This window comes from Homo sapiens, chromosome 2, assembly GCF_000001405.40.
Source record: "Homo sapiens chromosome 2, GRCh38.p14 Primary Assembly".
Taxonomy (NCBI): Eukaryota; Metazoa; Chordata; class Mammalia; order Primates; family Hominidae; genus Homo; species Homo sapiens.
In genome coordinates this window covers 207,165,254-207,177,697 of record NC_000002.12, presented here as the reverse complement: position 1 = coordinate 207,177,697, position 12,444 = coordinate 207,165,254, and the positions used below count along the sequence as shown (strand labels likewise).

The following is a 12,444-nucleotide window of genomic DNA, read 5'->3' as shown; positions in this document are numbered from 1 at the left end:
CAAATGTTTAAAGCTAAGTCTACATTAAGGAGCAAAAAACATTAAAAAATTTTATTTGAATTTTGGTTGCAATCTACATGTTCTAAATATATATGGTTCTTGCTGATATCTCCCTAATCTTTGAACCCGTTCCATTCTTCATAAGTCATCATGGATCCTTGCATTGTATTTATTGATGGATGGATGGACAAATGGATAGAAATCATGCAGGAAGGATGGAGAACATAGAGAAAAATGTAACCAAATGAGTACTATTGTTTCTTTCTGTGACATATGATCATGTAATAAGTGTGTATTAAGTATTCTGTGTCAAGCATGGTGCCAGGTTTTAGGGGATGCAAAAAAGGAGTAAAAAACACAGACATGTTCTGAGGACCTTGTTACTTTTGCCCTTATTGTTAGTTTCAGCTTAAAAGTTAGGACTCTAAAATTTGAAATCCAGGCTCATTGGGTTCAAATCCAGGCTGTACTCCTTCTGTGCTCTGTAATTTTGAGCAATTTACTTAACCGCTTAATAAAATAAGGATGATGCCAATAATATCTATTTCCTGATGTTGTTTGGAGGATTAAATGAGAGAATCATGTAAGAGCATTTAGTACAGCACTCAGCACTTAGTGAGCATTCAATAAATTATTCTAAACTAGCTTCCTTCAATACCTGCAGAAGGAACATCAAAATGAGAAAAGAAGGTTCATTTGTGTGGACACACAGACACACACACACACACACACACACCCTCACTCAAAACTGGTCTTACTTTCACACTTCTTTTCCCTTTCCTCCTTCTCCCCTTTATCTGCTGCCTCCTCCACCTCTTTTCTCTATGACTTCAAAGTTAATTTTTTTAACAATTTATCATCAACTTTTTAAACATATAGCAATGTTGAAAATTTTTTCCAGTAAATAACCATAAATAGGTGAGATTCTGTGCTCTAGGGGCATTGATTCACACTAAGCAAAGTTACAAGGAGCTAGAATAACAATGTATATCTACTATATTTCTTTCTCCCTTATCCTCTGGTATTTGACTTCTGTCTTTTATTTAATACTTTTTTTTTGTATTGTAGTTCCTGTATTTTATTGTATTTGTTCATACTTCCTCTCTGGAATAAAAGAAATAAGAAACAAGTATGTAAATAAATAAAAATAGATACTATGTGTTTACAAAGGGAAATCTCATATAAGTCAGTTCATTCAAAAGAGGAAATCACAGATCAGAAGGTTGCTATGGTAAAGACAAATCAAAAAGGGGAAATTCTAGGTTGTCAAATACTTAGTAAAGCTACTAAAGTAGATCTGTTTCCATTCTAAATTATCTTTAAAGGTCACTTAGGACAACAGTTACCCCAGGGCAGTGTGGAAGAAAGTTATATTTAACCAGTCCTTACTCTTTAGCTTTCCTTTGGCTAATGCTGTTACTAGTTCACAAAAAGGCCTGTTATTATATCACCTTTTGAAATGTTACAATATTCAAGATTATAGTTTCCCTTAAAATGTGATAAATGTAACAGTAACTGTTTCTTAATAGATTGAGAAGTGCCTTAAATTCTGAAAAATATATTACTCTAAATCCCTCTGTAAAGTGGGTTCTTTGAGAACATCTCATATTCTTTGGGTAGATTTTGGTAATTTTAATTATGAAAATTTTTCTACGTGCGTTAGAACTTCTATATTCTTTCAAGCACATTTGATATCATTTGAGCTAATATCATCTGCTCCTGTTTAGGCCAAGCTGACAGAATCCAGCACGAACAATATGGTGTCCAAACAATACTATAGAAAGCAATATTATTTTAAAATTTTATTAAAGATATTTTGTATGTTCTTTAATAAATTGTTTTTTAAAATAATAGTTTTGAACATGTAGAAAGGACAAAACAAAAGAGGATTGCTTTAACATGAATATTCCTCAAAGATTGAAAATTGATATCACAGAAAAGGAAAGGATTGGGGCTTATATGTGGCACAACGAGAGCTGGGTGGAATTTCCCATTTGGACAAATTGGGTAAGAGGAGTAAGCCTCTCTGAGTTATGCTACCTTTTGGTCTTCATCAAATGAGATTGCACTGGCTTCCCAAATAATGACCAAAGGGAGGCAGAGCAGCTAAGGGCATACCTTCCACGATGCCCAGTTTGGGAGAAGCCAAAATGAAATGACACAGTATAAAGCATGACCACATTTGCTTCAAACAATCTTTGAGCATTGCAAAGCGGGAGGAGAAGAGAGTTAGGGGAATTGTGAAGCATTCTGAGAGGGGCATTGAAGCATTATTTCTCCCATTTAGATGGCACAAATGGAGGAATTTTTTTTTTTTTTTTTTTTTTTTTTTTTTTGAGGCGGAGTCTCGCTCTGTCGCCCAGGCTGGAGTACACTGGTGCGATCTCGGCTCACTGCAAGCTCCGCCTCCCGGGTTCATGCCATTCTCCTGCCTCAGCCTCCGGAGTAGCTGGGACTACAGGCGCCCGCCACCACGCCCGGCTACTTTTTTTGCATTTTTTAGTAGAGACGGGGTTTCACCGTGTCAGCCAGGATGGTCTCGATCTCCTGATCTCGTGATCTGCCTGCCTCGGCCTCCCAAAGTGCTGGGACTACAGGCGTGAGCCACCGCGGCCGGCCCAAATGGAGGATTTTAAAGCATGTGATAACTTACTCCTGAGAAGAGCAGGGACCAGCATTAAAAACTATGACTCAGCTGAGTTTTCAAAGCACTCAAGTAAGCATCCTTCTGGTAAAGGAAATTTAGTCAGATTCAAATGAGAGACTAGTCAGAAAAAAAGCAAAACAAAACAAAACCTGCTTCTGACATTATTAATTTTCCAAACTATCTAGATCTATCATATACATAAAAACTCATCATTGAGCACTTGTGGAATAGGTATCTCTCACTTAAAGGAATGGTCATTGTCAGCAAAGTTTGCAGTACAGAGACTTTCCATCAAATCAATCTTATTCTCCCATTGATTTCCATTACAAAATCCAAGATGCATTCTGCTGTTAAATCCCATTAACTGCATACCAAGCCCTTTGGAAATGGCACTTTTAAAAGAAAAATGATAATATTCTGATAAAACATTGAGAGTGATATTTAACATATTAATAATTACACTGTTGTATTCAACATGTCACAACAAAAAATGCTTAGGTTGAAACACAACACTCTTACAAATTGTGCCTCACATGCCACAAAAGCTAAGAATCTCTAAAACATTAGCAACTTGATTTCTCACTGGCTTCACAACTATCTGGGCATTTGCGTCATTGCACAGCAAAATTAATTCTTTTTACTATTTTTTAAATTTTTTTCTCATTTCCTACTGGCTTCTTTTCCAAAATCTTTGTCCAGAGACCCCTGAATAGCTTGTGATGCTATTCTTAGATGGGGAAAATCATCCAATCAGGTTCAATCATAGCAGCTTATCCTAGTGCTTGCTGGGATCTCCCTACCATTGGAGGAACTGGGCATCTCCTGAAAAGCAGTGTTGCAAAGGGAAGCAGTAGATCTGATGAAGGTTGGACTAGACACTTCAAATGCCTTTTCTAACTTCTGAGACACAGTACTACTCTCTCAGAAATTGATATTGGTAATATGTCTGTGTTTACCATTTTATTTTCAACCTAAGTCCTTTGCATAATATATGTTAAATGACTGGTTTACATAATATATGTTGAATGACTGATTGAATTCAAATGATGATTTTGTTCTTCATAGAGGATACTGACACTTTAGGTGCTGACAGCTCAAGCTAGAAAAGTGACTACTAATATTTATCTCCACAGGAATCCTGTAACACAGGTCATAATGACATTCAAAGTCCAACATTCTAAGGTTGGACAGAGCATTCTTGACAGTGAACTTTTGCTGGACTTGTGAATTCCTTACCTTTATCATGATGGTAGGTGAATTTTTGTTAAGCAATAGATCACCTGAGTTAGAAGGAAGCAGCAAATTGTCTCCTGGGTCACACGCCCATAACTCACAATCTACCAGGTCCCTCTTTTATCCATTTTGTATGACCCCTTGCAATGTAAGATGTAACATTCAGGGTTGGCTTTGGCATTTTATTTAAAAATAAATGTTTTGTTAAACTGTAATATGCCCACAGAATTCTAAAAGCTAGTGGCAAGATTGGGATGTCTTCTGAAGAAGATAATAAGAGTTCTTGGTTAATTCACCGAGACCATTTTTTAAAGTATATCATGTCTAGAAATCTCAATATGTTAGTGTCTTAAAATTAAACAAACCTAGGAAGTCAGACCCATGCTAATTAAACTCACAAAAAACACACATATTAACTAAAATGTCTTTGGATGTTTGCATTGACAATAGCAATAGTACTGCCGCGGTGACCAGGCTCCTGTGGTTGTAACCAGTTCATTTTTTCCTGTAGGCAGAACAAGCGGGAAGTCAAATTATGGGCAGAAAGTGAGCACAGAATGAAGACAGAGAGACGTATTTTCAAGAAATATTTTTATCCAGGACACTAGAGGCCTGATGAGACCACCATTTCATTTTTCTCAATTATGAAACAGCTCTCACAAGTGGCCACATACATGTTCTCATGTTCTTCCAAATTCAAACCATGTTTCTCAGGCAGTCTTGTTTACCAACCTCCGCCTCTCTGACACTCACATTTTCTACGACACAACCCAAGTTCACACTTTCCTCCACTGTAGTAAGATGGTGAAGGGAAGAAAAAGTCAGTACACAAAAATATTTATTAATGATAGGACCACTTATAAATTAGTCCCCCACTCAAACATCCCTTCTTAACAATCTTCTCTCCTGCTCTCATAGTGGCAAACATTTACAATACAATGCAATATATTCAATTATACTGCAAAGTAAAATTGCAAATCGTGCCAAAAGTGTTAGATTTTATGATGTCAATGAAAGTAAGGTTGATAAGGCCACTGGCAAATAGAGATTTGTAGAGTTAAACTAACAAGTGAAGGTAAAAATCAACAGGGAGGGTGACTATATTGCTGATTCAGAAGAGAATACTTTGAATACAAAAAACTAATAGAGACCCTTGGGGAAACTGATGAAGCCCTCTAACATTTTTACAAAATGACCCTCTTTTTGATTATCCTGTAAAAGTCAAATATGAAATAAGGCATATTGTAAGTTGAGTTGGGGAGAAAAAGTAATAACTTTTCCTCCCTTATCACAAGGTTTATGGCTGACACTCCTATAACAAAAGACAGTTTAACAAGAGATAAGTATCACAAATCTATTTAATCAAAGTTTTACATGACATGGGAGCCTTCAAAAATGAAGACACAAAGACCCAGGGAAAACTGTATTTTAGTGCTTAGGTGGGATAAAGGATGAACAGTCGTGTTGAAGTGGGATTGGATAAAAAGGAGGTATGGCCTAAAGTTAATAAACTGGAAACTTAACAAGGCCTGTTTGTTCAGATTCTCTTTGGCCTCTAGGGAGGGGCAGAACACCTGTCACACGAAGGTCTTCAGGGCAAAAGGGAGGAGGTCAGAGAGTGACCTTCTTAGGTTTTATGGCTTGCTTTGAGGGAGAGAAATTTCAGTTTCTATGATCTGTTTCAGGAGAGAAAATAGGAGTAGGGGAAGGTCAGAGAGAAATTCCTGCTTTAGTGGCTCTCCCAATCTCCTTTGGCTCAAAATACTCAGTATGTCAGGGTGCCATACATATTGGGGTATTGTGTTCTGGGCCCCAACCGGTGCTTTACCTTTTGTAGAAAAATTAAACCAACAATCACTTTCTTGATTTATTCATTTTACAATTAGCACATAGTCATACTAACAACGTAAATATTGTTAAATACAGGCATACTATGAAAATATTGCTGACTTTGGTTACAGCCCACTGCAATAAAGCAAATATCACAATAAAGTGGGTCATGCAAGTTTTTTGTTTCCCAGTGCATATGAGTTATATTTACCCTATACTCTATAGTAAGTGTGCAATAGCATTGTGTCTAAGAAAAAACAATGTACATACCTTAATTTTAAAATATTTTGCTACTAAAAATTGGTAACTATCATCTGAGCCTTCAGCAAGTCATAATCTTTTTCCTGGTAGAAGGTCTTTCCTCAATGTCAATGGCTGCTGACTGATCAGAGTGGGTTGCTGAAGGCTGGAGGGGCTGTGGCAATTTCTTAGAAAAAGACAACAATAAATTTGGTCACACTGATGCTTCCTTTCATGACAGGTTTCTCTGTAGCATGCAATGCTGTTTGATAGCATGTTACCAAAAGTACAGCTTCTTTCAAAATTAGAGTCAATCCTCTCAAACCCTGTGATTACCTTATCAACTCATTTTATGTATAATAATATTCTAAGTAGTTTGTTATTTCAACAATGTTCATAGCATCTTCACCAGAAGTAGATTCCATCTCAGAAAAGAACTTTCTTTGCTAATCCGTAAGAAGCAACTCCTCATTCATGTAATTTTTATCATGAGATTGCAGCATTTTTGTCACCTCTTTGGGCTCTACTTCTAGTTCTTTTGCTATTCTCACCCGATCTGCAGTTACTTTCTCCACTGAAGTCTTGAACCCCTCAAAGTCACCCAGAAGGGTTGGGATCAACTTCTTCTAAACTCCTGTTAATGTTGATATTCTGACCTCTTCCACAAATGAATCACAAATGTTCTCAATAGCATCTAGTATGGTGAATTCTTTTCAGAAGGTTGTTAATTTACTTTGCCCAGATCCATCAGAAAATCACTATCTATGGCAATTATAGTCTTATGAAATGTATTTCCTTAATAATAAGATTTAAAAGCTGAAATTATTCCTTGATCCACAGGCTGCATAATGGATGTTGTGTTAGCTAGGCATGACAACAACATGTACAACTCCTTATATATCTCCATTAGAACTCTTGGATGGCCAGGTGCATTGTCAATGAGCAGTAACATTTTGAAAGGAATCTTTTTTCCTAAAGAGTAGGTCTCAACAGTGAGCTTAAAATATTAGTAAACCATCATATAAACAGATGTGCTTTGTTCTTCTATTTATAGAACACAGGTAGAGTAGATGTAGTATAATTCTTAAGGGCCCTACAACTTTCAAAATGGTAAATGAGCATTGCCTTCAAGTTAAAGGAACCAGGTGCATTAGATCCTAACAAGAGAATCAACCTGTCCTTTGAAGTTTTGAAGCCAGACATTGCTTTCTTCCTCTAGCTATGAAAGTCCTAGAGAGCATCTTCTTTCAATGGAAGGCTGCATCATCTACCCTTATCAATGATTTTAGCTCAGTCTTTTGGATAATTTGCTGCATCTTCTACATTACTACTTGCTCCTTCCCTTGTACTTTAATGTCATGGAGATGACTTTTTCCCTTAAACCTCATAAATCGACCTCTGCTATCTTCCAACTTTTCTTCTGCAACTTCCTCACCTCTCTCATCCTTCGTAATATTGAAGAGAGTCAGGGTTTTGCTCTGGATTAGGTTTTAGCTTAAAAGAATGTTGTTGCTGGTTTGATCTTCCATCCACACCACTAAAACGTTCTCCATATCAGCAATAAAGCTGTTTTGCTTTCTTATCATCTGTGTGTTTATTGGAGTAGCATTTTTAATTTCCTTCAATAACTTTTTCTTTCCATTCACAGAGTGGCCAACTGTTTGGTGTAAAGGCCTAGCTTTTGGTCTATCTCGGTGTTTGATATACCTTCTTCACTAAGCTTATGTCTAGATTTTGATTTAAAGAGATATGTCACTCTTCCTTTCACTTGCACACTTAGAGGCCATAGTGGGGATATTAACTGGCCTAATTTCATTATTGTTGTGTCTTAACGAATAGGGAGGCCTGAGGAGAGGAGGGGAAGAGCCAGTCGGTGGAGTAATTAGCACGCACACACACACTAGTTAAGTTCTATGTCTTATTTGGGCACAGTTCATGGTGCCTTAAAACAATTACAATGGTAAAACCGAAATAACTGATCACAGATCACCATATCAGATATAATAACAAAAAAAGTTTGAACTATTGTGAGGATTACCAAAATGTTACACAGAGACATAAAGTGGGTACATGTTGTTGGGAAAATTGTGCTGATAAGACTTGTTCCAAGCAGGGTTGCCACAAACCTTCGATTTGTATAAAAAAGCAGTATCTGCAAGGCATAATAAAGCTATGTACAATAAAATGAGGTATGCCCATATAGGACAGAATGAATGTATTTTAATAACATTTAGTTTTATTTTCAAATAAAGTCTTAAGCAAAGCTTTCTTCACTGATTGGTCTGAAATTTGGTCCCAGCTTTAAGTAGATTTACTTTGAGGAGTACTAATCACACTGGGATAATAAAGACTTCCTACACTAATGAAGCAAAACTTTACTGGTGGAAACAGCCTGATGCCTTTAATGTGTGTATTCACATATTAAATTTTTACTATTTTATTCTTAAAATATCCTCATTTATTTCTAAGCTCCCCCCGGGTGGGGGGATAATTTATTATTTACTCTAGGGTGTTTTCTATAGGATTACTTCCAAAGATTGACATTATTAGAAGTAAAATGAACACCTCCCAAGGCAATACTTGTGGAGAAGACAGATTTTGGAGTCGATTTGGAGGCAGACCTGTATTCTAATCTGCTTTTACCCACTTACTGGACACATGGTAATGAGCAAATTACATGCACTCTCTAAACTTCAGTATCTTCATCTATAAAAATGGAGCACTAAGAGTTCCCTCACAGGATTGTGGAGATCAGAGGTATGTGTAAAATGCTAGGTACAAAGAAGGTAATCAACCAGTAAGTGGTAGTTACAACAGTGCAGTTTATTTTGGTTTGCTGAACTGCCAAAGTTCTCTTGTGATCTTAATTTGTTGATTACTTTGTACATCTGGATACCTTGCATGTGTTTTGCAATGTGAATCTTGGGTCTCTAGGGTATAAAAAGTAGCTAAATATAACTAATATTGAAAATGTGCCTTTCAGAATGCCTTGCTGCATAAATCTCTTAAAATGAATCTAAAATATTCTACAAAGCTTGGAGCAAAGACCATAATGAGGTTTGCAGTATTTGCTTTGTAAAATTTTGGTTGAGTCCTTTTGCAAGTCAGACGGCTGATAGTTACATAGGAAAAGTCTCAATGGAAGCCTCCTCCTCCGGCCCCACCCAAGCAATTTTTGTAAACACACACTGACTTAAAGCTGAGGAACCCCATTTTTCACCATACAAAGCTCAGTACAGAACAGTGTGGGGAGTCAGATGCTCTTGGATTTGAACCCCTGCTTGACCACTTCCAGGTTGTGAGACCTTGACCAACTTACTTAGTATTTCCAAGCGTGGGTATCTTCATCCATAAAGTTGGGGATACTTTGGGGCTGTCCTTAAGATTAAATGAGACATTGCATATAAAGTGTTTATGCGCATACGGCACATTCGAAGTGCTTAATAAATGGGAACTATTATTTGTAAAATCTTCAAACTCACGTTAACCGATATGTCCTATTTTATTCAAAAATTGTTATAATGTAACACACACAAAATAAGTTCACTTGAGTCTCAAGTACCAAATTATATGGTTGGTCTTGCCTCACCTTTTGCCTCTAGTTTTCTATACCCAAGTTCCTTTCCTTCCCCTATTATTCATGAACATGTTTTTTGCCCTAGTGTTTCTCAATGGTTCCTGCCCATCCCCCCAGTTGAAATAGCATGGGGGTCAGGGGAGAGCATGGAGAAGGGGAGACCTTGTAACAAACTAGCAAGGGGTTTCTACCTTTCCTCTATCTCCAAGATTCTATTAATAGTATATTCTCCTAAAGGTCCTATTAGTTTACATAGCTCAAGTGGGGAGACAATGATAGCTAATATTTAGTATTCACCTAATAGTGTCAGATACTATGCTAGGTGAGTTACCAAAGATATTTTGACTCTTCATAACAACTAGACAACGCGGATCCCACTATTTCTGTTTCTGAGATGGGTAGATACAAGTTCTGACCCAGTAATTCGCTCAAAGTCGTGCAGCTAGTTAGCTGGCAGCGTCCTTGCACATCTAATTGCAGATGCATCTGCATCTACATTAGAGTAAATGTTCCAATTATACTCATACAATGAATGCTATGAATCTGGCCAACAGAATTCCAGACACTAACAAGTAAATAAATCAGGCTTTCCTCAATCCCAGTAATTCATGTTTAATATTCCTTGGCAAATACTGAATTTCAATCTGTGCTTATTTCATAGAGTAGAATCTTTCAAATGTTGTGTTATCGAGTCCTACATAGTCAAAGGGAGGGGAAAGACAAGGAGGGTGATTAAGGTGAAGCGTTTCTTCCATTACTGGTAGAACGAAGTTTCTCATCTCTTAAGCACCGAATTCTGCAATCATTCCAAAAGTGGAAGCTCAGCTCACAGCGCATTTTGGGGAAGCTTAAACCACACTAACCATTTAAGGTCAAGCAAACAATTGGCCAACCCTAACGTGAATTGTGCAGGGTTTTCATCTCAGATGTAACAGATCTCTCTATGTCTACATCCCAACTCCAGAAAACGAGAAATCGAGTTCCTCCTCTCACCATCGAAGCTCTGCAGACACCTCGCTGGAGACCCCATGGTGAGCCTCATCACGTAAAGGCCCCCTCGCAAGCTGCCGGCTCCAGCTTGCGCCCCACGTCTACCTAGGCTCCCTCTAGCCTCTTTAACGCACAGTCGAGCAACAGGCCCCTTGCAATCAACTCTAGCCGCCGGACTCCCGACCAGGTCTCTCGCTCGGGGTCAGAAGGAGGCGCGGGAGGGAGGGCGGCGGCGGCGGCGCCCGCGGGGCGGGGCGGGGACTGTGCGCAAGCGGGGGGCGGGCGCAGGCCGCGGTCTCGCTCCGCTCCCCTTTGTTCTCTCCCATTGTGTGGCACTTCCTCCTCAGGCGCTTCTTCTCTGCACCCTGGCAGCCCGTGGGGAGTTCGGGAAGGGGCCCTGGATGCCTTTTCTGCTTGTTTTTGAGTACGTGAGGACCTCCCCGGCACCGCCTCGCGCGGGTCCCTGCCCCGTGCCCAGGCGGAGGCGGGGTGGCCACTGTCCTTCCTTCCCGCTCCGCGCCCTCGGCGGCTTCCCCGCGGCCCCCTGCGCCGCGCCCCCTCCAGGAGGCGTCCTGACCCCGCACTCCGGCCTTTCACCTCCCGACCGTCAGCCTCAGGGCCGCCGCGGCGACGCGCGACCCCTTCCCTCTGAGGGGCGCGGGCTCCGGACGCGCCGGGCTCTGCCAGGCATCTAGTGGAGGGTCGGAGGTCGGCGACCAGCCCGAGCCCAGCCGTCCCGGGAGCTGGCGCGAGTGTCGCCACGACCCTCCCTGTCCCTTGCGCTCGCGCTGCCCGGCCGCCGGGCGGCCGCCTCAGCCCCCTTATATAGCCCTCTAAAAATAGCTCGCCTCGCACCGCCTTGTAAGGCAGCAGGGAGATCCGCAGCGTGCCAATCCGCGCCCGCCGCCAGGGCCAAGCCCCGCCCCAGGCTCTGCTCCGGGCTCCCCATTGGTCCTCAGTGACTTCATGAGCCCCCTGTTTACCTTACATGGTCACACGCGGCCTAATGGACGCCCTCCTCGAGATCCCACGGCTGCGCGGAGAACCGAACGGAGGGAGGGAGTTTGGGGAGGGGGAAGAGCAGGAGGAGGAGAAAAGGGAGGGGGAAGACTACAAACTAGCAAGGATGGGGTGGGGGGTGGGGAGGGAAGGGAAGGGGGGGGAAGAGAAGCGATCGCGAGAGAAAAAAATGCAACCTCCCAAAATAAAGAGCAAAGATTGCATTAGGAGCGAACAGCGCTGCAGAAATAGATGGCAGCTTCGTGTCAGTGAGTTTGCATCCCCCTTCCTGATCCACGAGCTGGAGTGATTAGAGCCCTGGAAGGGAATTGTTACTCCCGTGGAGAAGTCCCCTTTTCCTGGCAGTCGTCTGCACTGTACACGCTGGATGCCTCTCTCCATCCACCCCACTCACTCGCTCCTCTCTCACCTCCTCTCTCCCTCTCCTGCATTGATTTTTTTTTTTCCTTTTTAGTTGACTGAAACAAAACAAAACAAAAGGGCCACTGGATGTCTGCCTTCTTGGGGGGTGAGCCAGACAGACTGACAAACAAACAGCCCCAACTGTGTTCGGGGGAGGGTTTCGCCTCCCGTTTTGCCCGGCAGCAGCAGCATGGACGTGTTGGCTAGTTATAGTATATTCCAGGAGCTACAACTTGTCCACGACACCGGCTACTTCTCAGCTTTACCATCCCTGGAGGAGACCTGGCAGCAGGTGAATGATTTAAATTACTTGTGTAAATCGTGTGGTGGCGGCGGAGACGCAGGGGCTGCGTTGGTGTGGGCTCTGGGTTGAAATTTTTGTTTGTTTGTTTGACTTTTTTTTCTTCCTTTTTGGCTGTCTGTTGTTGAAAATGTTTTCTGAAACAGTCATCTGCGCTTACCTCTCCACCCACCCCTAACCTCGTAGAGTGCCGAGCTGAGCAGC

At 40.9% G+C, this 12,444-nt stretch overlaps 1 protein-coding gene and 1 non-coding gene across 15 annotated transcripts in view, besides 7 other annotated features; one reads left to right on the top strand and one right to left on the bottom strand.

Annotated features, from left to right (window-relative positions):
- The window catches only part of KLF7 (KLF transcription factor 7), a 99,715-nt gene continuing 91,117 nt past the window's right edge, over window positions 3,847-12,444 (top strand). For 4 of the 14 annotated variants that reach the window (XR_923051.3, NM_001438026.1, NM_003709.4 and 1 more), the window contains exon 1: window positions 11,750-12,231. Coding sequence is in view for 12 of the 14 variants with exons in the window: in NM_001438026.1 (NP_001424955.1) it covers window positions 12,130-12,231 (102 nt within the window). In the remaining 2 variants the exon portion in view is untranslated. Of the gene's footprint in view, window positions 3,897-10,451; window positions 10,705-10,841; window positions 10,942-11,749; window positions 12,232-12,444 lie in introns of those variants that run through there. The other 10 variants (NR_073108.2, XM_017005161.2, XM_047446150.1 and 7 more) reach the window with 7 other exon arrangements.
- Window positions 9,906-10,614: an enhancer, noted in NCBI's record as "NANOG-H3K27ac-H3K4me1 hESC enhancer chr2:208031808-208032516 (GRCh37/hg19 assembly coordinates)". NCBI's record gives its function as "activates a minimal SCP1, AML or CMV promoter by ChIP-STARR-seq in naive H9 embryonic stem cells {active_cell/tissue: H9 hESC(naive)}" and the evidence as "EXISTENCE:reporter gene assay evidence [ECO:0000049][PMID:30033119]".
- Window positions 10,239-10,288: a silencer, noted in NCBI's record as "silent region_12273". NCBI's record gives its function as "represses an Ori minimal core promoter by ATAC-STARR-seq in GM12878 lymphoblastoid cells {active_cell/tissue: GM12878}" and the evidence as "EXISTENCE:reporter gene assay evidence [ECO:0000049][PMID:35858748]".
- Window positions 10,615-11,322: an enhancer, noted in NCBI's record as "NANOG-H3K27ac-H3K4me1 hESC enhancer chr2:208031100-208031807 (GRCh37/hg19 assembly coordinates)". NCBI's record gives its function as "activates a minimal SCP1, AML or CMV promoter by ChIP-STARR-seq in naive H9 embryonic stem cells {active_cell/tissue: H9 hESC(naive)}" and the evidence as "EXISTENCE:reporter gene assay evidence [ECO:0000049][PMID:30033119]".
- Window positions 10,615-12,031: a biological region, named in NCBI's record as "NANOG-H3K27ac-H3K4me1 hESC enhancers GRCh37_chr2:208030391-208031099 and GRCh37_chr2:208031100-208031807".
- Window positions 10,909-11,548: a silencer, noted in NCBI's record as "silent region_12272". NCBI's record gives its function as "represses an Ori minimal core promoter by ATAC-STARR-seq in GM12878 lymphoblastoid cells {active_cell/tissue: GM12878}" and the evidence as "EXISTENCE:reporter gene assay evidence [ECO:0000049][PMID:35858748]".
- On the bottom strand, window positions 11,200-11,298 carry MIR7845 (microRNA 7845). The gene has a single exon (NR_106999.1). It is a non-coding gene; the product is annotated as a microRNA 7845 (primary transcript).
- Window positions 11,323-12,031: an enhancer, noted in NCBI's record as "NANOG-H3K27ac-H3K4me1 hESC enhancer chr2:208030391-208031099 (GRCh37/hg19 assembly coordinates)". NCBI's record gives its function as "activates a minimal SCP1, AML or CMV promoter by ChIP-STARR-seq in primed H9 embryonic stem cells {active_cell/tissue: H9 hESC(primed)}" and the evidence as "EXISTENCE:reporter gene assay evidence [ECO:0000049][PMID:30033119]".
- Window positions 12,039-12,138: an enhancer, noted in NCBI's record as "active region_17030". NCBI's record gives its function as "activates an Ori minimal core promoter by ATAC-STARR-seq in GM12878 lymphoblastoid cells {active_cell/tissue: GM12878}" and the evidence as "EXISTENCE:reporter gene assay evidence [ECO:0000049][PMID:35858748]".